At 35.2% G+C, this 27166-nt stretch overlaps 1 protein-coding gene across 11 annotated transcripts in view; it reads left to right on the top strand.

The window, feature by feature from the left end:
* Positions 1–27166, top strand: part of SCAF11 (SR-related CTD associated factor 11) — a 72929-nt gene that overhangs the window by 31446 nt on the left and 14317 nt on the right. For 9 of the 11 annotated variants that reach the window (XM_047429883.1, XM_047429880.1, XM_047429878.1 and 6 more), the window contains 5 exons: positions 8887–8964; positions 12077–12177; positions 15301–15365; positions 26109–26167; positions 26329–26438. In XM_047429883.1, the coding sequence (XP_047285839.1) occupies positions 8887–8964; positions 12077–12177; positions 15301–15365; positions 26109–26167; positions 26329–26438 (413 nt within the window). Of the gene's footprint in view, positions 1–399; positions 453–4421; positions 6787–8886; positions 8965–12076; positions 12178–15300; positions 15366–26108; positions 26168–26328; positions 26439–27166 lie in introns of all 11 variants that reach the window. The other 2 variants (XM_024449275.2, XM_047429884.1) reach the window with 2 other exon arrangements.

The following is a 27166-nucleotide window of genomic DNA, read 5'->3' as shown; positions in this document are numbered from 1 at the left end:
AAGTGACAGGATAGGTGAAAATGTATTTTGGGGAAAAGTATTTTGAGTTTTGCTGAATTAATATGGTTGGTAAATCTCTCTCTGTGTAGGATCACTGTTTAATGAAATAATGCATATTTTTTTTCTGCCACCCAAATAAAGATTTTTATCTGTGTTGAATTTAGTGCACATGGTTGCTTTGTGGTTAAATTTTTTTAGAGATTTTGCTTTGGGTAAAGAAATAATATTGTTGGATGGGTGGAAGGTTTCAATACAGTGCTTTTTTATAAGATTGTATTTGGTGACCACATAATTGTGAATTTCAACAACTTAATCGGAGTATATGTTTTGCTCTAAGAAAATTATAATGTGTATGTAATAAGTAGATAATGGTTCTCCATCCTTTCTTTCAACTTCAAGTGCATCTTTCACACAACCTTTACCCTGATGTACATGTTCCAGGTTTCTCTAGGGTATGTATCTAGAGGTGGAATTACGGGTTGTAGATGATGCACATACTTAACTCTACTAGACAGTGGCAAACTTGTCTATATTTTTAACTCTTGTTGAATATTTTTAAGTTGAAAATACTGGATAACATACATGGTATGGCAGCCAACACCTTTCCCGCATGTAATATTTTTCAAATTGCTTTTCAAAAGAAAGTACTTATCTTTATGCTGCTATTATAAACTGTGATGCTGGGTAGGCAGGGAGGAGTTGTGATAGTGTTTAAACAAAGGTAATTAACCTTTAAAGGGGAGAATAAACAGAACATTCTGAATTATTTCGTTGTCCCTGATGGGGATAGCAATCATCATTTAAATAAACCTTTCAGTTGAGCAGTAACAAGAGAGCAATCTATTAATAAATTGCTTATTATAAATTATAAGTGAATGCTGGCTAAAAAAATCATGTAGACTAAGTTTTCAGTTTGAATCTTTTATTGCTGTGATAAAAATAGATATGTTTCAAAGCATGTAAGTGCTTTCACAAATAGAATCAGATTTCAAATTCAGGAGTATGTTTCTTTTTTTCATCATTATAAATTAAGCTCCATCCTCTCATTTCCCTCAGTCTTCTTCCATCTAAAAGCAAAGTTTACAGTTTACTTCGGATTTCAGGATCAGGAATAAGTGTCTTCAGCCTTCTAACAGGCCATGCCTTATGCCTAGGCTGTCATACACATTCTAACATTTAATTTCATTTAATTCACTATGTTAATATTTATTTGCTATACAAGACAAGGATTCTAAACTTACGATTTTTAAGTACGTCAAGGGATAGCCTGACGTTAAAATCTTTTTAAAAAATTGGTTTGTGGTGTACAATTTTATGCATGTTCACTTCTTTTTTTTTTTTTATTTGAGACAGAGTCTCAGTCTGTCACCCAGGCTCTAGTGCAGTGGAACCATCTCGGCTCACTGCAACTTCTGCCTCCCAGGCCAAGCGATTCTTGTGCCACAGCTCCTGAGAAATCTGCATAAGAGAACAGTACAATTTGCAGTTAGGATCATCTTTCTAGATTTCTGTATCTTTCAAAATTTCTGTGCTTTCTGAGATTTGTACCCAAGGTTCACTGAAATATGATTCAGAAGGAATATCAAGCACCAAAAAAGGACTCATTTATTTACTTTCACCTTAATATTTTAGGCATTGAACACATTCTTAAAAACACTGGTCTGTAAGAAACTGGTGTTTTGAAAAATTAAAGTGTGTCGTAGTCTAGTATATTTATTTTGGCCACATAGATCAAAGTTAGTTTCAGTCTTTTCAAGCTCTAAAATTTTGGTTCTGTGGTTATTTAAACAAAAGCTATGTAAGGACTTTAAAGTGATTAAGTAAAAAGTCTTTGGGTATGTCAGAATCCTCTTTACTTAGGGCAAAATGTTTCAGGGTGAACCTGTGGTAGCCTTCATGGCCCATAGCCTAATTGCCTGCCCTTAGGGACACTAGAACAAATTGAAATTAATCATGTCCACTATGATTATATTTAGTTTCAAGGAATTCATAGATGGTAAACCTGTTGATTTATAAAATAATGATGATTATATAGAAATAGAATATTGAACAATGACACAATAATTGACATTAAGGAAGGCTGAAATTTTTGTTAATTTAAACCATAACTGTTAGATCCAACAATCTAAAATTAATCAAAGACATTTGAACTGATGAAATGTATATAGAGCCAGTATGCTAAAGCTTATCATCTATTCAGTTAGGAAGTTATTTATTTTACCCATATTGTGGGCAAAAACAATATATACTTATTGATAGCTTTTAATATATCTGAGTTTGCATACTTTAGGAAGGTAAAGGACAGAGAAGTCTTGACACACATTGTAGTAGTGACAATTATGATTTCCTACAGACAAGATAATCTCCAACACATACAAACACACACAGGTTAAGTAAATGGGATTTATTGGCCAGGCATGATGGCTCACGCCTCTAATCCCAGCACTTTGGGAGGCCAAGGAGGGTGGATCACTCGAGCCCAGGAGTTTAAGACCAGCCTGGGCAACATGGTGAGACCTCATCTCTACTGGGAAAAAAAAAAAAAATTAGCCAGGCATGGTGGAGTATGCCTGTAGTCCCAGCTACTTGGGAAGCTGATGGGGGGAGGTTGGAGGATCACTTGAGCCTGGGAGGTCGAGACTACATTTATCTGTGATTATGCCACTGCACTTCAGCCTGGGTGACAAAATAAGACCCTATCTCAAAAAAAAGAGAGAAAGTAGGAATCATTATTTCCCACAGTTGCCGAGAAGTGATTAAAAATTTGGCCCTTAAAATAAGGTCATGGTTTGAAGACACATGTTTAAAGCATTTAAGAGTTCTTAACAATGTTTAATGGAACCTGCAGTATATGTGATGAGGATGTTCTTGATATCTGCTGGCATTCTTTTCCCTTTTACATAATATAAAATATTTCCCTTATCTTTTAAGTATTATTTTTAAAAATGTGATTAGTTTCCCATTATAAGCAGATTATTCTCCCTCCATTTTATACAAAATCACCCATTTTGTATAAAATGCCAACAGCTTCAGTATGAGAGAGTAAAGGTTAATGAAATCAAAATTCGGCAGTTGGCAAAGGCATGGTTTCTCTCCTAAACTAGAAATGAAGTGTCTTATTAAGGTGACATGCAGTTCTTGAAGAAGTCAAACAATAGTGTTCAACATAGGTGAAGGTTATATTTTTGAATTAATAATAAATACCAAAAAATCAAGATGTGAGTTCTTGACTTATATCTGGACTGCACATGTGTTTTATATACAGGTGTTTCTTTATGCAGTAGGTGGAAATTTGTCCATTCTGGTTGTTAGACTACTTTTAAGTAATATAATTCAGTAAAGCTTTATTATCTGGAATTTTCAATCAATTTTTCCTCAAATTCTAATTTTAAAAAAATTAACCAGAACTAACCCAGACACCTCTGTTATGTAGCTCTCTGTGAACGGTAATGTAAATGTACCTGTGTAGTACCACTAACATTAGTCATTTATAATTTATAAAGTATTGTCAGATACATTTTTTAAATTTATTACGCCTATGCAATAGATGATCAGGGCTCTCTCCATCTTCATCCTTAGTGTGGGTTGGAGTGATTGCTAGCTCCACAAGAACTTTAACTTGTAGCTAATTTTTTCAGATCCACCACTATTTTCACCCTGTGAATTAATCCTTTGGGAAATTTTTTAGTAGAGCAAAGAGGATTTTTGCATTGTGAACACCCATCACCTAAAGCATATATCTAAAAGAATTTAAGTACTCTGTTTACCAGTAAGGTAAATTAACATGCATTTCTTTGTGCCTAGTTTTAAATGTCAGAATATGTAAAATGATCTGTATGGGTAGTTTACTGAGTTTCTTGTTTTTACACTAGATAAAGTGTTGCCTATTGTCAGAATAAATTAAGATTACATGTAATTCTCCCCAACTGGTATCTTGGAGAACATGAAAGGATTTTAAGTAGTTTGATGAAATGTGTTCTTACTGGGGGTTAATTTTATCACTGACAGCCATTTGTCCTTTAGGGATACACTCCTGAATGCTGGTATAAAGAACCACAGTTTCACTAATATGGATTGACAAAGACTGTCTTGAAAGAACTGGTTAAATGTGATAGGGAACATGTAGGCTGACTGCAGGTGAACAATTAATTTGGAAGTACAGGTGAGGTGTCTTAGAACCATAAATGAAAAAAGATAGGTCCTGGAAAATAGCTTTAAAATAAGCATTAGCCACTAATGGTATGCATTTCTAAGTCATCTTTATTTGATTTTGAACTAGAATTTTGTATAACATGCTCTATTTTGTTAGTAGAGAGATAGATGTTCGAGATTCCCACAAACAGGCAAACCTACCTATAAACATAGGTATTGAGATTTAGTCTTTAAGCACTTGTCTTAACACTTGTTTCTCTCTCTCTAAGAGGAGCTATCTATAAGCAGCCTATGTGATTGAGGATAGAGCAGCAGGAGGAAGCGAGAAATTAGAAATCGAGGATCCTGAATTCCCAAATAAGGAAGGTTTCTTGTTCTTACATTTAAATGTGGGTTTGTCTGAGCTGAGAATTTATAATGCTTCAGAATAGTAGGGTGTGTTTTACTGAAATCATTAGGAAGATTATTTTTTTCTATCAAAATTGCCTTCTTAACTGATACAACAACCTTAGTACAGAGCATTCACAGTAAAACATATGCTCTGTTTAATACACATTACACTGTAAAGCAGTGAGCAAATTCCATTAATTTTGTAGCTGTATCATAAAGCCAATGATGTTATTAGACTACTTGGTTATGAAACTGAATTAGATACTTTAAAAATTATTGAAATGAAAGTCAGTAATTCAAACAAGTGAGTCATTGAAGGATATTTTGTTGTATATAAGGAATCAAAATGGTAAATAATTGAAGGATATTTTTATTGTATTTAAGGCAACAAAATTTGAGATAATTTTCTTCAAAATTAAAATAACTTAAAAATAGAGTAAGTATTAGTTAAAATTTCTTTACATTAGTTTAAAATGTGAACTTTTAAAACCTCACAACTTGGAAATTTAATTGTAAATTTTACTCTGAAAACTAAAAACATCTTTGAGACCTTTCTGGATAGATATCTGCTGGATATAAGAGTGAGGCATCCTTGGGAGTTCCTTAAAATTAGGCCAGTCTGGGCCGGGTGTGGTGGCTCACGCTTGTAATCCCAACACTTTGGGAGGCCGGGGTGGGCCAATCGCTTTGAGCTCAGGAGTTCGAGACCAGCCTGGGCAACATGGCAAAACCCGATCTCTACAAAAAATTAGCTGGGCATGGTGGTGCGTGCCTGTAGTCCCAACTACTTGGGAAACTGAGGTGAGGCCATCGCTTGAACCTAGGAGGTTGAGGTTGCAGTGAGCCGTGATGCCGCTGCACTACAGCCTGGGCAAGAGGGTGAGACCCTGTTTAAAAAAAAAATTATGATGGCTGAGTCTGTGTCAAAGAAAATTAACTTATTTTTTGGTGTTAACTAAATTATCTTTAGGTAATTACATTTTATATAGATTGTGATGATATATGGCAGTAGTTTTCCTATTACTACTACTTTTTTTTCTTGTTTTTCCTTTGTGTTTTTGTAATACCAGTGGAGCCTTTTCTTAAAATGAAACTAGGCAAACCTAAGACAATTATGCTTAAGGAAAAAAAAGGGGGGGAATCTTACTCAGAACTGTTTTTTGAAACGGATCAAATGGAATGGCTCAGAGCAGGTGTGATGGCTCCTCCTGTAATCCCAACACTTTGGGAGGCTGAGGTAGGAGGATCGTTTGAGCACAGGAGTTCAAGATGAAGCCTGAGCAACATAGTGAGACCCTGTCTCTATGAAAAAAGTTAAAAAAAAAAAAAAAAAAAAAAGCTAGGCACGGTGATACATGCATGTATCCCAGCTACTTGGGAGGGTAAAGTGGAAGAATTGCTTGAGCCCCAGGAGTTCAAGCCTGCAGTAAGCTGTGATCAGGTGACTGCACTCCAGCGTGGGCGACAGAGTGAAACCCTGTGTTAAAAAAAAAAAAAAAAAAGTAACAGCTTAGATTAAAACTGTCATAATTCAAAATTGTAAAGGAAGGCTGGGTACAGCAGCTCACGCCATTAACCCCTCCAAGGCAGGTTGATCGCTTAAGCCCAGGAGTCCAAGACCACCCTGGGCAACATGGTAAAACCCCATCTCTATGAAAAATACAAAAATTAGCTGGGTATGGTGGCATGCACCTGTAGTCCCAGCTACTCAGGAGGCTGACATGGGAGGATCATCTGATCTCAGTCTGGGAGGCAAAGGCCTTAGTGACCCATGATAGTGCCACTGCACTCCAGCCTGGGGGACAGAGCAAGACCCTGTCTCAAAAAATAAAAAAAATAAAGAAAAAATTGTAAAGGAAAAAATGCAATTTAGCTGATGTCAGTAGAGGAAATTTAATAAAGAAAAAATGAGATTGTATGATTTGAGAGTCTTTGAAAGATTTGATGCATCTGATACAAATTTCTTGAACACGTGACTTTCTTTGGATCTTAGTGTCACAAATCAAAATAGCTAAAATAATGAAGTACTTGGATTTCCATCTACGTCATAAACTTTGCAAATTCCAATAAAAATTGTTAAGAACTCATGTCTCTCACTTGTATATGTATCATATTGTGGTTGTCTTTTGTTAATTAACCAAGTTTTTTTGTTACTAAAACTAGTTGATTACAAGACCTTACATAATATTTAGTATATGCCACACTTTCTTCTAGGAATTATTTATTCCCATAAAAACCTTAGAGGTAAGTTATTTTTTCTCATTTTCACAAATAAGGTTACTGAGGCACAGAGAGACTGTAACTTGCTCGAGTTTATTAAAAAGATACGAAAGTAGCACAGTAAATTCATGGCCTCTATACATCTTAGTTTTTACGAAAAAACAAATTTTCATTTATTACCACATAACCTTTTTTTAATGTTTCTCTAAATTTACCTTTAAAATAGGAATAAAAAACATTTTGAAGCTTTTGTAAAAATAGGAAGCACTAGAAATATTACACTTTTAATTTTATTTATCTATGTTTCAGAGATGGGATCTCACTCTGTTGCCTAGGCTGCAGTACAGTGGTGTGATCATGGCTTACTACAGCCTCGAACTCCTAGGCTCAAGGGATCCTCCTGCCTTGGCCTCTCAAAGTGTTGGCATTACAGGCATGCACCACCATGCTCAGCCAGATTTCAACTTTTAAATATTTTTGAAAACCATAAATGTAGCATTAATATAATCTCTTAAGAAATTTCATACAGGGTATGCCACTGGGATAAACAGCAATGGTTATGATGTTAAGTTCTTCGAACTAGACAATGCATTATTAAAAAATATATGAACTTCTTTGTTGCTGAAGCAAACCTTCTTAAGGTCAAGTTTTCTATAGGGAAAGTAATAGCCTCCTAAATCCATAGTACTTAAAAGTAGGCTGAACTGGCTTCTTCCAGTCTGAACCAATTTAATATAGTAAGGTCACATTTCCTAATTCAGATGTGGTAAAGCTTTTTTCCCATTGAAGCCCACTTAAAAGAGAAAGAAAATAGTAACTCAGCCCATATTTTGGCTGCTCCCAAAGTGACTTGTGAGCTTTGTGAAAATGTGTTAAATGATCAAGGACCATACACAATCTGCTCTACTTTTACTTGTATAAGCATGTCTTGATACGTGGTAAAACCCAGAAAGGCAAAGATCACATTTTTTACATAGGAATAATATATCTAGTTTCCATTACTATCTTTGCTCTTTGAGACTATTGCTATTAGATTGTTAAAATTCCGTTTTATTTTTGTAACCATAGGTATTAATAATATCACCTTTTGGTACGCTCTTTGCAGAGTTTTCCCTCCTACCCTAATAGAAAATACATTTCATCTTAAATTCTTTAAATAATGTAAACCCATTCTTACACAAATATTTAGTAGTTTTATCAGAGAAACTCTTAGAGTTGATGCACAGGAATTTTAAAAGGACAGGAAATAAAGCAAGATAATGTTGACTTATAATCATAGTATCACTTAAGGACCAATTTCCTTAATAAATAAAGAGCACCTATAACTCAATTTGAAAAAGAGTAGCAACTTAATAAGAACCTAAGCAAAGAACTTGAATAGGCAGCTTAAAGAAAAGGAACTTTGGATAGTCCTTAAAAATAGGAAAATGTGCTCAACCTTACTCCTATAAAAGGAAATGTAAAGTAAAAAACTCTTATTCATATTATTCTGTTAAGGATAAGGCAGCTCTGAATTACTAATATGAATCAATCTTAAGTTTATATATTAAAAAGATACACATATATGCATATGCAATGGATATCCACAAAAGGTTATGTAAGAAACTGCCTCTGGAGTGGCCATCTAGGTGGCTGAGGGGAGGGGTGAAGGAGTACTTCATTTTCTTCATATCTTTCAAATGTTTTTATTGCTGGCACAACTGCCTATTTAATGTAACTAATTTGGGGGGAAAATATTAAGTCATAGAATATTAAAATTTGTGAGGAACCTTTCGGAGCCATTTGGAGTGGCCCAAGTTTAGTGTAACAGCCAGCTTTACATCACAGAACTACTGCTGTCAGCCCAACTCATCTTTCACTATACTAGTAGTTCTCAACCGGGCAGCATATCTTAATGGGATTTTAATAACAGATTCTGTCTCGTTCATCATTGTATTCCAACTATCTAGCATACAGGAGGTATTCAGTAAATGTTTGAATGAATGAAACAAATTTAAGGTATAAAAATATTTTTTTCTTTCGAAGATAGAGATAAAAATAATTTTATGGAAAATTTATAATTGTATTTATAATTTTGATCTAAAGAAACATTTGTAAAGATATAATTTGTTAATCACTTTTCAGACACTGGCTTCATGTCCTATTGACCGTAAACCTTTTCAGGCAGTGTTTAAATTCAGTGCATTGGAAGGTTATGTTAAGGTAAGTCTTTTTATTCTGCAACATGAATTATATAAAAATTAATTGAAGCTGTTTGACTTTGATTTCCAGTTTGTGTATATTTGAAAATTGTTCAACTTAAGGTTTAATATGTTATTTTAATCCTCCTTAGCATGATAAATTTATACCTTTCAACTAATATACTTAAATTCTGAACCTTTTATTCATTTGCCCCCTAAAGAGGGCATATCCATAATGATCACCTTGTAGTATACCACAAAATGTATTAGATCTCTGATAATCTGAAGGACGTTTTGTACTAAGGCTTAATTATAAAATACTTAACATTTTAGAATATCTTGAATGCGAGGACTTCTTCCCATATTTCAAAGAATTTAATTGGCTAGCACTTTGAATACATGTTTTCCATTGAAAAAATGTTTGAAATGAAGTATTAGATTCAAAGACCAACTCCCACAAAACCTTAAGTCCAAAATAACTGAAAACTGTGTTTTCCTGAAAAACAATAATTTTGAAATTAGCCAATAAAATTAAATTCTGCTTACCTCATTAATGTTACTTACTGTTGTGAGCCATGATTATGATTTGTATTTATGTTAATTTTTTGCTTACCTGAAAAAACAAAAAAACATGTCTGAGTTGAGTAAGAAGAAAAGAGAAAAGGAGAAGAGTAGTAGTTAAGTATATGAGAAAGATTTCTTGATGTATCACTACCAAGTCATGAATGAAAAATAGCTAAAAATGAGAGTACTCAATATAAACATAAGTGATGCCGTTAATAGGAGAAACAAACCGTTTTTAGGTAGCACTGTTAGTCTTTGTCCACTTGGTTACTGTCTATGTAAGTAGAAAAGGGGATGGAAGCAATGTACAACTATTTAATTATTTGTCTTTCTCAGTGTAGGTTTTCATAATTTGTTTTGATATATTTTTACCAGATGAATCTTGATGCAAGGTACAAACAGGACTGCAATTCAAATAAACGGTTTGCTTGTTGTAATTGTATAACTTTGCCATCAATGCAAATTAGTTTATATCTCAGAAAAAAGATAAAACATTATAGAAGTGTAATATAGTAAGTGTGGCTTTTCCTGAAGACATATTCTCCATTTTTCCAAACGCTGTTTGTATGTATAATTACATTGCAAAAGATTCATTAGTGTAAAGTAGATTCCAAATATATTTTTCTGTGAAATTATGTTTTCTTGCTTAGAATAAAATTTATTTGATAGAGTTTGTATTTTACTTAAAAGTTTGGTACAGTGCTAGTTTAATTTTTGTTTAACTTAAAAGGTATTTCTTGGCACATGAGATATCTTCCACATTCTCTTAAGTGCCTTCCCTAGACCTTTACTTCTTTCGAATCTTCACTTCATTATCTTTTTCCCTTTGCAATTGAACTTCTTGAATTCTACAACTACCTCTTCTCAATTCTTACTCACTTTTCAGTTCCCATAGAACATTTACCTCTATTATCTTATTTTACAAACACTACCCTCACCAAGGTCCAGGCTCAGACTTCCACATTCCATGGTTTGTTTTCTGCGTGTAGTGCTGCTGACTACCCTCTAATTCCTTCGGCTTCTAAAACATCCTTCTCTTGTGGGTATGTATGTAAGTATGTATGTATGTATGTATGTATGAATGATTGTTTTACTTCTCTGTCCTTTCACAATCTTCTTTGTCATATCCCTACCCTCCTGTTCCTTTTCTTAATCATTAGGACTCATAGGATCTTCATTTAAATTCTTTCAGTATACTTTCTTTCTAAGTCTTCTCAGCTATTATACTTCAGTAGCTTTAAGTACTACGTATATTTGGATGCTTCTAAAATTCTGTCACTGTCCTAGACTTCTTTACTGAGAGCCAGACCTGTATTTACAACCACTTGTGCATCTCTATCTGGAATACCAACAAAATCTGACATTAACAAACTCCAAATTAATCACATTCCCTACCCCTTTCCCCAGCCCCAGTTGTTAATGGAATCACAGCCCTAGTCACCAAGATCAGAAATATCTGGGACTTTTCCAGTTTTCTCTCCCTCATCTGTTTTTTTCTGCTCAATGTCTTAAATATGTTTCTTCTGTATCCCTCCATTGTTCCCTCTTTGTAGACCCCTATTCTTTCATCTAACTAGTGCTGTCTGATAGAAGTATACTATAAGCCACTAAATAACTAAAATTTTAAGTAAGCATCCTAAAATAATAAAAAAATGAAATAAATTGAATGATATATTTTATTTTTAATCCAATATATCTAATGTATTAGCTCAACATGTAATATTTTAAAATTATTATTGAGAGATTTTACATTCTTTTAAAAAATTATACTAAGTCTTTGAAATCTTGTGTCTATTTTATACTTGCGGCACATTCCAATTTAGACGAGCCACATTCCAAGCACTGAGTGGCCATATGTGGCTAGTGACTGTTGTCTTGGACAGCATAGATCTAGTCTATCTTAAGAGCTTTCTTTTAAGATCTAGTTTATCTATAAGAGCCTGGTTTTTATAGTCTCTCCTTAACTGGTTGATTCCCCATATCACACCAAAGTTATCTTCCTAAAAACAAATTTGATCATCGCATTCACTTGCTTTAAAAAGTCCGCTTACTCTCTGATGCCTGTAGATTTTCTTATTCAAGAACCTTTACAGTCGAGTCCTAACACATTTCACCAATTTCACATCTAGCTACTCTGTTTTTACCTGTCTACATTGGCTTCTCACTGTTCCTTACAACTCTGTTCTTTCCTCCACCTAGAATATTTTTTTCTTAGACCAATTCCTAACTATCCTTTAAGACCAACTCATACATCATCTACTCATTAAAGTCTTCTGTGACATCCTCAGTTAATTTCTGAGTCCTATATGTATATACAAATCTGTGTTCATATCTCTGTTATAAGCACTTAATCTGTTTATGCTTAGCTGTCACTATTTTGTTTCCCCAGACCTAAGCATACTTACTAAGCTTATGGTTTAGCATGCTTGAATGAATAAGCATATGTATTTGGACTACACTTTTTAATTGGACAGTTTTGTTTCTGTAATTTTAATCATTTCAAGGAAGAATTTAAAAAGTTATTTGTAAGGCTGGATTGTTGCTCTAAATTGATTTTGCTTTTCTCATAGGTTCAAGTAAAAAAACAGCTGAGAGAAACAAAAGACAAGAAAAATGAAAACTCATTTGAGAAACAGGTCTCCTGTCATGAAAATTCTAAAAGCTGTATAAGGTTAGTGATTAACTTTAGAAGTGGAATGCAAATGAGTGGAACAGAAGTTAACTAGTACAAAAAAGGTATTAAAAAAATGAAGTGGGGTTTAAATGTATTTAATCACTTATTCAAAAGCACACACTTGATAATTTAAGGAGGGACTAGCTGAAATCTGAGAATCTGATTTGAGCTCTACTCTGTTTTTGGTGAAGAATTGGTTCTGGCTGGGCATGGTGGCTCACTCCTATAATCCCAGTGCTTTGGGAGGCTAAGGTGAGAGGATCACATGAGACCAGGAGTTTGGTACCAGCCTGGGGAACATAGTGAGGACCGTCCTCCCCTCCTCTGTCTCTACTAAAAAATAACACAAAATAAAAAGAATTAAAAGAATTCGTTCTTTTCAGTTTATTTCTGAATCTGTTTTAGACCAAACCTTTTGTAAAATAAAATGTTCAGCAATGTAAAATTTCTGAATGCTGGCCAGGTGTGGTGGCTCACACCTTTAAGGCTAGCACTTTGGGAGACTGAGGTGGGAGGATCACTTGAGCTCAGGAGTTCAAGACCAGCCTAGGCAACATAATGAGACCCTGTCTCTACTAAAAATTTACAGATTAGCCGGGCATGGTGACACATGGCTGCAGTTCCAGCTACTTAGGAAGTTGAGGCAGGGAGATATCTTGAACCCAGGAATCTGAGGCTGCAGTGAGCTATGATCACACCAGTGCATTCCAGCCTGAGCAACAGAGCAAGACTCTGTCTCAAAAACAAACCAAAATTCTGAATGCTTACCCTCATTTTTGTACTTAATCACATACCAATATTAAACACCTAATAGATAAGCATTGGTGCTCATACCACACTGTAAATAGCACTGATCAAGTTACTTATGGACAAAAAGTACGGAATACCTAATAGTATAGCACAACATTCTTCATCAGTTATAATTTAAACTGTTTATTAACCTTCACGTACTGCTTTCCTGTGTTGCAGCAGGCACTTGCTGTCTACTATAACAAGTGTTTATGTTAAAACATTTTTTTAAATATACAGGTTTCTTTTTTTTAGTTGCTGTTAAAACCATTGCCTATTTTAACATAAATGCCTAGAAATGCGGTGTTTAATACTTGAGTTTAGTAGGTGTTTAACACATTTTTGAGGTAAATTGAATATGAGTAGTACACTGGAAATTAATGCTTAAATAACTTGTTCTAATACATTTGAAACTTAAGCTCATTTTGATCTGAAATGTATTTAGAGCTGTCCAAGAGTTGAATTTTTAAGTCAATATGTTGTCAGATTCATAATTAAATCTATGATTCATTAGTACTTTTCATCAGAATACTAATTTCTTAAAAGAGTAAGTTTATTTAGTTCCTAAAACAGTTGGCAGTAGTCACTGAGATTAATTCAACCTATTACTAATTTATAACACTGTAAGCTCCTTAGATGTTAACTTTTGGGTAGTTATGGCATTCTTTAAGAATGTGAAGAATGATTCAGATCCCTTCTGCTAGAAAAATACACGTTTACAGACATAAAACTTTGTATATGATTTCAAGGTATTCATGGAATACCCCCTCCAAGAGCCTACCCATGAGCCCCAAAGTTAGTAACTGCATTAGACCAAATTTTATAATTATTTCTGAAAAATACTTATCAGCTTTGGTTCTTGCATTTGTATTTACATAGTAGATAATAGTACACTTTTCCCAGGCATAGTGAAGAAATAACCTTTTGGTAGAAATACTTTTAATTCTTGATACAACTCATATCACTGGCTGTGACAGTATCATAGATATGCATTTTTTTTTTTCTCCCTCAAAATTACCCAATTCTCTTGGCTCTTGCCAAGGGTGTAGTGGTCATCACAGAATTACCTATAAGGCTCACAGCTCTTATTTGAGTCTAACATAGCAAAAGTCGTCCCCATATTTAACTGCTTTTTCTGAGATTTGTCATAAGGAAATAACAGCTGCAAAATTAATAATTTGCCTTTGCCCACCAAGGCATAGCTTAACTATTTTTCCCAAGGTGGAAAATCTCTGTCAGCTGTTGGATATTTACATTATACTCTTTTTTGGAGTCTTGGATGTTTTTAGTAGTCCTGTCATTCAGTCTTCTATTTACTGGATACTTGGTCTTCCAACACACAGACAAACTTCATTCAATTTTGCCTCTCCCTTCCAAAGCAATAAAACCCTGGGACCTCTCTGTTTCTGATACTTTTTACCAGTTCCAAAGAAGGCATTGCAGTGGTATTTTGTTTCTTGGTAGTGAACCTCCATTTTAAGTCATTGTAGAGAATGGTAACTGAGTGAGGAGTGAAACTAATCATGCTTTCTTTGCTAGAATTTCCTAATGGTCCTTTTAAAAAAGACAATATCTGCTTACCTCTAGTCTGCGTGGCTCAATAGCCAGTCAGTCATGATCAGCCAGTAAGATTGTTGTTTAAAGACTGAGATGAAGCCAGACGTGGTGGCTCATGCCTGTAATCCCAGCACTTTGGGAGGCTGAGGGGGAGAATCGCTTGAGATCCGGGGTTTGAGACCAGCCTGGGCAACATAGTGAGACCTCGTGTCTAGTAAAAAAAATAATAATAAGAATAAGAATAAAAAATATATTAGCCAGGCATGGTAGCTTACACCTGTAATTCCAGCACTTAGGGAGGCCAAGGCGGGAGGATCACTTGAGCCCAGGAGTTCAAGAACAGCCTCATGAGCAAAGGGAAACTCTCTGCAAAAATAGAAAAAATTAACCTGACAAGGTGGTGCATGCCTGTAGTCCAAGCTACTCAGGAGGCTGAGCTGGGAGGATTGCTTCTGCCCAGGAGGTCAAGACTGCAGTAAGCCGTGATTGCACCACAACAGTCCAGCCTGGGTGTCAGCAAAATCTTGTCTCAAAAAAAAAAAAAAAAAAAAGACTGAGATAATACAACTCAATAGATATTAAAACCTAACTTGACATTCTAATATCTCATAGGAGTCTGTGAGAATATCCTTAAACCATTTACCAGATTTCAGCATAGTTACCAAAATCAGTGCATGATAGATTTCATTTTGATGGAGGAGAATGAGTTGAAAATAAGTGAGCAAAATGACAGTTTTTTTCTTAATTCTTTCCTGTCTTTATTGATGTTTACAGAAGAAAAGCCATCGTAAGAGAAGATCTATTAAGTGCAAAAGTTTGTGACTTGAAGTGGATACATAGTAAGTTACTTTTTGCTTGTGGATTCTACCTTTTTTTTTGTTGTTTTTTAATTTAATGGTTGTGTCAGAGTTCTCATCAGTAACACTTCAGGCTGGAAAATAGTCCTCAGAACTCTGTACATTGTGTTAAATCCTACATAAATTTTGTTTTCATGGAGCAATTTATACTGTTTTCTGCCCCTTTTTTCCTTCTTGCTCCTCTTAAAAGGGGTGTGTGTGTGCGTGTGTTGGGAGAAAAGAGTGTTTCACAATTTCTTGGTGTTGACCAGCTCATACTGTGGCCTTATTCCACCCATTAGTGCAGAAGTCCTTGGGGGAGATGAGATTAAATACCTTGTGGGCCAGTTACTGTAAGCAGTAGCAAAGGAAGACTGTGACAGCAAGAAAGTAATTCACAGTTCCTGAAGGAAGTTGTAGTTTGGCCTCTAGCCTTACTTCTAATTTGAAACTTTAGAAATAAAAGCACCTCTAACATATTTATCTACATGAGCAGTTAAATATTCCTGTCTTCTGTTTTTGTCTGGTACATGATTTTCTAATACACAGGAAGGCTTTGCAGCAGAGCCTGAATAAAAATGACAACATCCATAGTTCTTTGTGACTCCTCCTTGGGGGTTCAGGCTGTTTATTCTGTCCCAAAGAACATCTTACTATGATCTGTTTGTAAGCGAGGAGGTGGGCATTTATTTTCCAGACTAAGTCACAGTGAATTTCCACTTACAGCTAGAACTAGTAAATTAGTGAGCTGTGAAAGAATTAATTTATTGTTTTAAAAAGTGAATAACTTCATTTTTTATGCACTATGAATACCAAGTTGTTGGTTTTTTGTTGGCTTTGTTTTTGATTAGAATTAATATGATCCCTCAGGTTAGATTTACAGATTAACAAACGTTCTGCCTTTGAAATTTTACTATTAAAGTGAAATTGAAGCAAAAGTTGTTTTGATCTCTGGACTTCTGTGGTTAAAAAGGCATTTTTCTTTTGTCAGCTTTAGATATGAAAACAGTCTTTGCTTTTCTATGTCATTGCTGTAGATTAGCATTCTTTTTTTATGAATAGCATTTGCTTGCCAATTCTAAGAACCAATATAAAATTTACTGCTGAGGAAGATTAAATGATGTTACAGATTTTTTCTAGGTAATTTGGCCCACTAAATTATGCTAGTCTTAGTTTTAAGACCACTGACAACTGTAATTTTCTTAAAGTGTTTATCTCTTGCCTGGGCTCATTTTTAGAAGGTGAAATACAGGAAAATCTTAAATTCCATATGCTTCAGTATAGTAAAGCTCATTTATAAGCATCTATGATTAATTCTGATTTGAGATTTTGTTTTACTGTTTAGAATGTGGCATATTAGATTGGATAGCTATTTTAAAATTATAATGAGGAAAAAAACAATTTCTGCCAGAAGGTTAGCATTATCTAAGGCCTGTAACTCAATGCTGTATCTACTTAAGATGCCTGAAGTCGTTTGTTTGGTTTAGGATAGGCAGAAATACTCATTATACTTTGAGTGGGTAATACAAGAGTGCTGATGCTGAGGTAATTATGAGCAAATGTCTTCACTGACCAACCTGGACTGATTTGAAGGGAACTGGGTATGGTAGTTACCCCTTGTCCATGGGGGATATGTTCCAAGTAGATGCCTGAAACTACAGATAGTACCAAACTCTGTGTATATTTTGTTTTTTCCTATATGTACATACCCATGATAAAGTTTAATTTATAAATTAGGTGGTGGAAAGATTAACAATAATGAATAATAATATAGAACAATTATAATAATATACTGTAATAAAAGTTAGGTGAGCGTGGGCTCTCTCAAAATTTCTTATTGTACTTACTCTTCTTACTCTTCTTGTGATGAAGGTAGAGTGACACAAGATTTCATCATGTTATTCAGAATGGTGTACAATTTAAAACTTAAGAATTGTTTGTATCTGGAATTTTCCACTTAATATTTTTGGGCTGCATTTGACCACAGGTAACTGAAACTGCAGAAAGAGACACCATAAATAAGGGGGGACCACTTTACTCATGGATTATCCATTTCGTTATTAATAGTTTTGCTGTGATGTTACTTTTTACTAGGGAAATTTGATAAGTCTAACATGGTCAGTTTTTCTTCCTATATTGAAATAGATTATTTATTGGATGAAGCAGCTTATATTTAGATATTACATTTGATGAAAATTATTCAGGTTTAAATTCTAGATTCATACTCAATACGTACTCAGTATTAGATGTTCATACTCGGAGAAGCAAAAGGGAATTGAGATCACTCATACATTTAACAAATACCTAACTATACTGAGCACAGTGACTCTTAGGGGTATAGTAGTGAACAAAAACAACAAAGTGCTTGTCAATGGGATCTTCTCGTAGACAAACGCAAATATAAATATAAAACAGGCGGTAATAAATGCTTTAAAGAAGAATAAAGCTGGGTAAAAGATTAAAGGGTGATGACATTGTGGAGATGACCGTTTATTTAAAGTGTTAGGGAAACCCTCTTGAATAAAGATATATTTGAGCAGTGACCTTCAAGAAGTAAGAAGTTAAGCCATGAAGATATCTCAGGGAATCTTGTTTGGGGCAAGGGAACAGCAAGTGTAAAAGCCTGAGACAGGAATATTCTTGGAATGTCTCCAAAGAATAGCAAGGAAGTTAGTGTGGCTAGAATGACTGAATTAGGTAGATGGAGGAGAAAGAGTAAGACATAAGGGGAGATCATTTAGGGCCAATGTGAGCTAGGGAGTGTTTTCAGGAGTAACGTGATCTGGTACATTTTAAAAGGATTACTCTGGCTGTGAAGGGAAGAAAATCATAGACGAATAAGAGTAGAAGTGGAAATTGACTATTTAGGTGGCTTTTTTCTTTTTTGTTCTTTTTATTTTAGGTGACGTTTTTCTAGGCCACAAATTGTAGTGGCTTGGGCCAAGGAGATATTAGTGGAGATGATGATAAGTGGTTCCATTCTGTATGTACCATTGATCCTTGAAAACACAAGAGTTAGGGGTACCCCTGCACAGTCAGAAATCAGTGTATTACTTTTGACTGCCTCAGAACTTGACTACTAATAGCCTCCTGTTGACTGGAAACCTTACAGATAACATAAACAGTTGATAAACACATTTTATATGTTATATGTATTATATACAGTATTCCTACAATAAAGTAAGCTGGAGAAAGAATGTTATTAAGAAATCATAAGGATGAGAAAATACATTTACTGTTCATTGAGCAGAAGTGGATCATCATAAAGGTCTTTGTCCTTGTCTTCACATTGAGTGGGCTAAGGAAGAGAAGGGGTTGGTCTTGCTGTCTTGGATGGCAATGGCAGAAAAGGTGGAAGGGGAGGCAGGAGAGGCAAGCACACTCAGTGTAACTTTTATTGAAAAACATTCATGAATAAGCAGACCCATGGAGTTCAAACACATGTTGTTCAAGGGTCAGCTGCATCGTACTTGAAAGATGAAGCTAACAGGATTCATTGATGGATTGGATATAGGCTACAAGAAAGAAGGAAGTCAGGGTTGACTACAAGGTCTTGACCTAAGGAACTGGTAAAATAGGAGTTGCCAGTTACTGAAATGGGGAAGGCTGGTGGGAGAACGTTTGGGAGGGTATAATGAAGAATTCTCTTTTGGAAGTAGAATGGTGGTGGTTTTTGGGAGCGGGGAAGATAGGGAGATGTTTGTCAAGGGATTCAGAGGTTCAGTTATGCAAGATGAATAAATTCTGGATACCTAATGTATAGATGTACAGCAGTGTGGATATAATTAATAATGGTGTATTGTACACTTGAAATTTAGATCTTGTGTTCTCACTACAAGAAAAAGGGAGAATGGTAACTGTGAGGTGATGCATATGTTTGGTTTGTGGTGATTATTTTCACAATGTGTACGTATATCAGAACATTAAGTAGTATACCTTAAATATATACAATTTTTGTCAATTGTACCTCAATAAAGATGACAGGCAAATTCGTTTTTCGATAAGTAAGGTGTCTACGACCATAGAGATGCTCTGAAGAAATTGTATATTTGCATTTCATGTACAAATAAGATCTACTCATCTTCATGTTATTTTAATGGTGAACAGTTTGTGTTGATATATGTTTATTTATGCTTGACTCCTCAGTTAAATTGATGGTTTCTTCCAGTTGTCATTTCTTTTCTCACTCTTGAGTTCAGGCAGAATGTTTAAGACTAATGATGATCAGAAATAAGATTGAGGCAACGTGGCGAAACCCACCTCTACAAAAAATACAAAAATTAGCCAAGTGTGGTGATACACACCTGTAGTCCCAGCTACTCGGGAGGCTGAGGTGGGAGGATCACCTGAGCCTGGGGAAGTTGAGGCTGCAGGTGAGTCATGATCATGCCACTGCACTCCAGCGTGGGCGCCAGAGTAAGACCCTTTCTCAAAAGAATAAATAAAAGGAAATAAGACTGAAAAGGAAGATTGCTATGCAAGTAGACACAATTAAAAGTTTTTTTCATTGAGATACAATGCGGTGAAACTGTTTTAGATAAACTAACCTGGTTGAAGTATTCCAAAAGGATGGGAAGCCAAGTAATCTGTTAGAAAGTTTCTAAAGATGTCAAAAGAGGAGGTTAATAAGATAACTCTGTCTTCTGAGATTATGTATTAACATCATTTTGTAAAGTCTTTTTTAAAAGGCTAAATGTCTTGTCCGAGATCACATTGCTAATAATTGGAGCCACCAGAATTTGATCCAGTCTTCTGACTCTATATCCAATGCCACTTTCTACTACAAAATAATACCAAAGCATGATATTGTTAGTGTTACCGACCTTAATTAAGCCTCTCACTTTATGGTTGTCTGCAACCTTTGTAACTGAAATTATTGCCATTCTGGTGGATCTTGTTTGGATGTACTTTTGAGCTCAAAAATAATTTTTAATGTAAAATTAGTTCTCTTTCATTTTGATAGCAGAATGTCTGCTCCCCACTTATCAGTTAACTGTGATTTTTTTTTCCTTCAGGTTAAAGGTCATAAATCATAGCTGTAAGATTAGAACCTTTAAGAGTTTTTGCCTTTAATTTGGACATTTCTTTTGTTTTTAATTTTTCTTTTAATTTTCACATTTCTTATGAGGTTTCTTAGACAGTATTTATTAACAAACTGACTAATTAGAAGACTAAGAGAACCTGTAAGTGTAACTTGGAATTATTGCAAAGTTTAGGGGCAGAAATGAGTCTGTCACGCAACAGAAAAGACAGCTTGTATCCTTAAATGTTGACATTTGATGACTAAGCAAGGAACCAAGAGACAAAGTCACGAAGGTAGAGTTAGTGGGGGATTGTGCAAATTGAATACATCTTTATTTACCCAGTTACACTGAACAGAAACCATGATATAGCCTAAGGATAATTTAAATTTCTTTTTATAAAAGAACTACTTGAGAAACTGTTGTCTGTCTCTTTATCTAGGATTGATTGGTTAGATTTTAGAAGCAACTCTACTTAGCTTAGCTTCTTGTTTTCTTATTTATTTATTTGTTTATTTGAGATGGAGTTTCGGTCTTGTTGCCCAGGCTAGAGTGCAATGGCACGATCTCAATGGCACGATCTCGGCTCACTGCAACCTCCGCCTCCTGGGTTCAAACAATTCTTCTGTCTCAGCCTCCCAAGTAGCTGGGATTACAGGCATGCGCCACCATGCCCAGCTACTTTTGTATTTTTAGTAGAGACAGGGGAATTTCACCATGTTGGTCAGGCTGGTCTCAAACTCCTGACCTCAGATGATCTGCCCGTCTCGGCCTCCCAAAGTGCTGGGATTACAGGCGTGAACCACTGCACCTGGCCAAACTTCTTTAATTTCTTAAAGTTTTGTGAAGCAGGATGGGACTGTTCTTTAAACATAGGTGTGTGACTTTCTATCTGAAGTCATTTGTTATACAGTAATCAAACTAATGAATAGAGTTTGTGAAGTTGCGAATTCTTATATCTTGATTAGAGATTATTATAGCCTATAAATATAGTATACTATTAGTTAAAACTTCAGCAGGTCTAATAGATGGTTTTACTGGAAGTCAAGCCCCTTGAGTTTTGTACAGTTTTTACCATTAAAACACCTGTGACTTTAGTAAAATTATATAAACTGTCTAGTTTTCTCATATAATGAAGATGATGTTGCCACACTAGAGGTATAGTGAAAGGTTAGACAGCAAACCTATTAGCAAATTTGTTGAGGAAATATCACTTTCTTTCTTCTGTCATACTAGATAACTGAATTATACATTTTTGTTTTTAATCTCCTTTATGTTCACTTTGTTTCTTGGAATGAACATTAATCTTTGGTTTGGGATAGTAGTTTATAATTGATATAGTTTACAGACAGGATCTCCCTTTCAGGCATTTCTTAATGTAGTACTTCTTTAAGTACATACTAGATCCATCTAATTATGTCTTTATTAAACTTTGGAATCAATTAGTCAGACTTTAATTGGATGCCTGCCAAGTACTGGGTTCTAAGCTCAGAGCCTTTATTATACTTGTTTGTATCGTACAAAAGGATGTTTTCATGAAACATCCTTTCGGATTAGTGTTTCATGAAACATGTTTAGGGATATGCTGAATTAACATAAATAAAACAAGGTTCTAGTTAAGCATAGCAGATTGAGTACTTGTTTAATGCTGTGATCCCTCTCATCCCAAATCTCTACTAAAATGACAATAAAGGAATGAAAGAAAAGTGTGTTTTTTGTTTGTTTGTTTGTTTGTTTTTTTGAGATGCAGTCTCGCTCTTGTCACCCAGGCTGGAGTACAGTGACACAATCTCAGCTTACTGCAACCTCCGCCTCCCAGGTTCAAGTGATTCTACTGCCTTAGCCTCCTGAGTAGCTGGGATTACAGGTGCCCGCCATCATGCCCGGCTAATTTTGGTATTTTTAGTAGAGCAGGGTTTCACCATGTTGGCCAGGCTGGTCTCGAACTCCTGACCTCAGGTGATCCGCCAACCTCGGCCTCCCAGAGTGCTGGGATTACAGTTGTGAGCCACTGTGCCTGGCCAGAAAGAAGAGTTTTAAGCCACAAAGTTTAAGCCACAAAGACAAGAAAGCTGGAGAGAGGGGGACAGCACATAAGTGTCCACAAAATAGAAAGTAAAACAGTATGAGGGGGATGGTAAATTGTCTTAGCAGAAAGCTGATACATAGACATTTCATGGGAAGAATGGAGTTAAGAATCTCAAGACAGTACACATACCATCAAACCTTAGCAAGTTGAGTTTGGAGGCCTCCATTATCTGTGAAGGCAGAGATATGGGGTGGTTTTGGAAAACAGAATTGGTTAAAAATCTTTAGATCCTGAAGATTCCTGGCTGTGGGTAGAGGAAGGGGAGTACCCAATGAAAGACTGGAGATTTACACTCTAAAATGAGTATTTGAACCAGATTTAAACTTTAGCATAAATGATGGTACAGGAAACAACAGAGAGGGAAATTAAGTCAAATGATGAGGCTTCTAGTCCTCTACCTAAGAGCATTTTTCAAAGCACTGGCAGTCTTGATTATTATAATTTTCCAAAGTAGGAAATAAGGGACATCTTTTGGAAAACTGACTTGCCCAAAAGAAAAGACTTAAAGATAATGTCATTTGAGAGTCTCCCAATGAAGTAACCAGATGTCTGCTTGATCACCCTACAGTGAAACACATTAGCTGAAAGGCTCTGACCACCCATCTACACCATTTTCAATCAATATTTTAGTGTCCAGCAAACAATCAAGGATCTCCAGATGTTTGAGGAAAATCAACATAATAGAGATCAAAACAAAGACAAAAGCAACCTGATGGGACAGACCCAATGCTGAAAAATAGGGAATAACTTTAAAAAACTTAATATCCTCAAAGCCTGAAAGAAGGGATATTTTATCAATGATACAAGAAAAATAATATTTAAGAAAAAGCTTTCAGAAGTTAAAAATATTACAGCAAAAATACAAAAATTCAACAGGAGTAGAAGATAAGTTCTTAAGTCTCAAAGTAGGACTAAAAAAGAGATGATAGGATATTCATTTAAGAGATTCAATATCGAATAATAAAATTTCAGGAAGGAAAAATGCAAAAATTTATTTTTAAAAAAGTAATACAAAGGAAATTTTTTCCGTAATAGTAGAGCACAGGTGTCCAGATATGAAGAAATAATATAATACTTAGTAAATGAAAAAAAAATCATACCAAATACTTCATAAAGTTCTAGAAGTCTGAGGATGACAAGAGAGAGAGTAAAAACAGACCACATAGAGGATTGGGGTTACAGAGTGTCATCAACAATAGTTGGAGTAGTGAAGCAATGCCTTGAAAACTCTAGGGAAAATAATTACTAACCTAGACAATTCTATAACCTATCAAACTATCCATCGTGCACTAACTCAGAATTCCCACCCTTTTCCACTTCTGCTGGAGGATGTATGTATATACTTCACTAAATGAGATAGTAAATGGAAGAACAATGTGAGATTCAGAAAATGAGTTCCAACTCAGGAAAAGATTAAACAGGACAAAGAGGATTATTGGGATAATGACAAAGGACAATCCCAAAATGACTATTGAACAGCAGCTTTGAGAGTTACCAGTTCATATTGGACCAGGACAAAGAAAGAGTTTTGCCAGGAGAGTGGGGAACAAACCTTATGGATGAGTTGTTGTGTTTGAGTGTATTAAACTCAGATTTATACTTTTGTTGTAGTTAGCTAAATTAATGATGGATAATAAGGAAGAAAAGGAAAAGAGAAAACAAAGACATTATTAACCCTAGGAAAATACCTGAATGAAGCTGGCTGGGCGTGGTGGCTCATGCCTGTGATCCCAGCACTTTGGGAGGCCGAAGTGGGTGGATCACCTGAGGTCAGGAGTTCAAGACCAGCCTCACCAATATGGTGAAACCCCATCTCTACTAAAAATACCAAAATTAGCCGGGCGTGGTGGTGTGCGCCTGTAGTCCCAGCTGCTCAGGAGGCCGAGACAGGAGAATTGCTTGAACCTGGGAGGCAGAGGTTGCAGTCAGCCGAGATTGTGGCACTGCACTCCAGCCTGGCCAACAAAGCGAGATTCTGTTTCAAAAAAAAAAAACAAAAAAAACCACACATAGAGTAGTATAAGGGTGTTATTTAGTAATAAGTAAATGTTAGAAGAAACAGCCAAAGGATTTGATGAGTGCTTTGGGGAAGCAGAAATCAAGAGTGGGTATTTCCATAATTTTTCTTTATAAGTTTGGAAGTACTGTTTGACATCTTAAAGTATGTACATGCATTACTTTGATAAAAATTAAATGAAAAGGCGTATCACTGCCCACCAAAAACAGACAAGTAGGGTGGATTTGTGAAACGATCTTCAGGAAACCACAATTTAGACAAATTCACCAGTATCGAATACTTTAGAGATTGCCATTGAAGCTGTTGAGTAATTACCTGAGAATTACCCAGAAATATGTGAAACAGCTTTTGAACTGGATTTTCACATGTAGCATTGCTCAGAGAAAACTAACAGTTCTTTCAGTAGAGAGCATTTTATCTAATGATGGCTTTCTGAGATAGGTTTCCAAATGAAAGAATGCTATGTAAACACTACATACTCGTTAAGTGTTGAGTGAATGCAACCTGAAACAAAACAACTCAGCATCCTTAGGGCATAAAAGACACTATGTAGGTATAGCACAGCAATTCTATGTCTAGCTGAAGGAACATGGTTATTTCTAAGAGTGTTATCTGTGTACCTACCACACATTTTTACTTCTTGCCTCTTAAGCCATTTTAAAAAATCAGCGTATCATCTTTTAGATACAGATTTTCAAAGGGGTAAGGCAGTAAGTTCCGGAACTCAGCCTGTTCGTCTTCCACTAACATTGAAATTACATTTGTTACAGTAGTTCTGAGAGGGACTTGTGCAAAACCAAACAGCTGTTGTATAATAACTAAAAAGGAAATTAGTATGCTATTAAGTAGAAAGTAGGCTATTACCAACTGAACTAACAGAAGTAAACCAAAATACATATGATCTTGCAGTGCAGGAAACAAGCCTCCTAGTTAGTGTGATTTATTTTGAACAATGTCAATAGGCCCTTTGTGAGGCAAGCAAGGGGGAAAATTAAAAGGCAGTTGTCATATGCACTGTGGACAAGTCATAAGCAATGCAGCCACCAACGTTGTAACAGAAAGCTGTTTCAGTCAGCACATCTACTTTTCCATCTTAGTATAAAATTGGAAGGAAAGAACATACCTGAAGTGGGTGCCAGTGGCTAAATGGTAATTTATGGTTAACAAGAGCTGATGGCCCCAGGCCACCTAGTCAGCCCCTGCTTGAGATAGCTACCTGTTTTCTAGATGATAGCTGGAAAAGAAATGTTAAGTGTATTATTGATATTAAATAGCTTGACTTCTTGTGTATACCTTTTGTTACAAGATACTTTAAGTTTGCATAAGGTAGCAGAAAATGTTGATTAGAATTTTAACTCATATGTTGTAAACATAGCAGGTTTGACATACTTCACCCAGTTTCTGTATTGTGGCCTTTTATATTTTACTTGTAGTAATAGCTTAACAAGGTAAGATGAAATCAGCATTTGGGAAAATTGTGTAAAAAATTGTGTATTATTTGAAATACAGCTTTTCTACGTATTTCAACCCTTGCCAATGTGCTGGTATCGATGCTGGTTTACAGCCTTTTTAATAAAAATTAATACAAGGTAACCAAGTCCTTTTATGTCTTTGTACAGGAAACTCTTTATACAGTGAAACAGGAGGAAAGAAAAATGCAGCAATAAAGATAAATAAGGTTTGTTGAAACCAAGAAAAATCTTTTTCTTAGATGATAACACTTTAGGGTTATTTAGTCCATAAATAACCAGTGCTTCAGGTGTATCAAAATATTTAAGTATAACTATTATTTACCTGTTATTTATTTGCTGTTTCACTAACTACTTTTTACTTTTCTAGCCTCAGAGATCAAATTGGAGTACAAATCAGTGCTTCAGAAATTTTTTCTCCAATATGTTTTCTTCTGTTAGCCACTCTGGAGAATCTTCCTTTACCTATAGAGCTTATTGGTTAGTATTTTCTACTTTTAATTTATGCTGTTTATACTTGATGTTTAATAATTATTAACTTTTGCTAGAAATTTAAACTCTGGGCCCAATAAAAACTGAAAGGCCCACCTGGTTGTTTTGCTTTAGTTTTTTTTTGGGCGGGGGGGAAGGTAAACTAGCTCTAGCAAAGAGAAAACCTGTTAATTTTGGGAGCTTCTCTATTGTGCAGTGATTGCCTATGCCAGTGTGCTTTGTTTTCATTAATAAGTTGTTCTATATAAGCTGTTTATATGATTGAGAAGTAGCTTATTTATTAGCTTGTGGGGATGTTACCTAAAGAAGAACCCTTTTACAGCTGATCCATTCATCTTTGAATCCTAGTGACTGGCATGTAGATACTAAGTTGATATTTATGGAATTTGAAGATTAAATTGAGGTTTTAAAATCACGTACAGTTAGTTGAGCCAGCAGCACAGAATACGATTGTGTGATTTAATTTTAGAACTTGGCAAGGTACCAAGAAAAAAATTATGTCTAAGTAGGCTTTTGAAAAGCTGAACTATACCCATTTTTGGTTGCAGTCATCTTACCCTACTTTATTTTCTTCTTTTGTCTTAGGCTTAGTTTCAAGTAGGAAACTATTGCACCTAGAATTTCTTCCTTTCAATAATGAGGATATTACTCTGACTTGACTTTATTTAAAAAATTCTGTCACTTAAGATAGAAATTCAAGGGTTATTTTTAACAAT

This window comes from Homo sapiens, chromosome 12 (genome assembly GCF_000001405.40).
Source record: "Homo sapiens chromosome 12, GRCh38.p14 Primary Assembly".
Lineage (NCBI taxonomy): Eukaryota > Metazoa > Chordata > Mammalia > Primates > Hominidae > Homo > Homo sapiens.
This window is presented reverse-complemented; position numbering and strand designations above follow the sequence as displayed.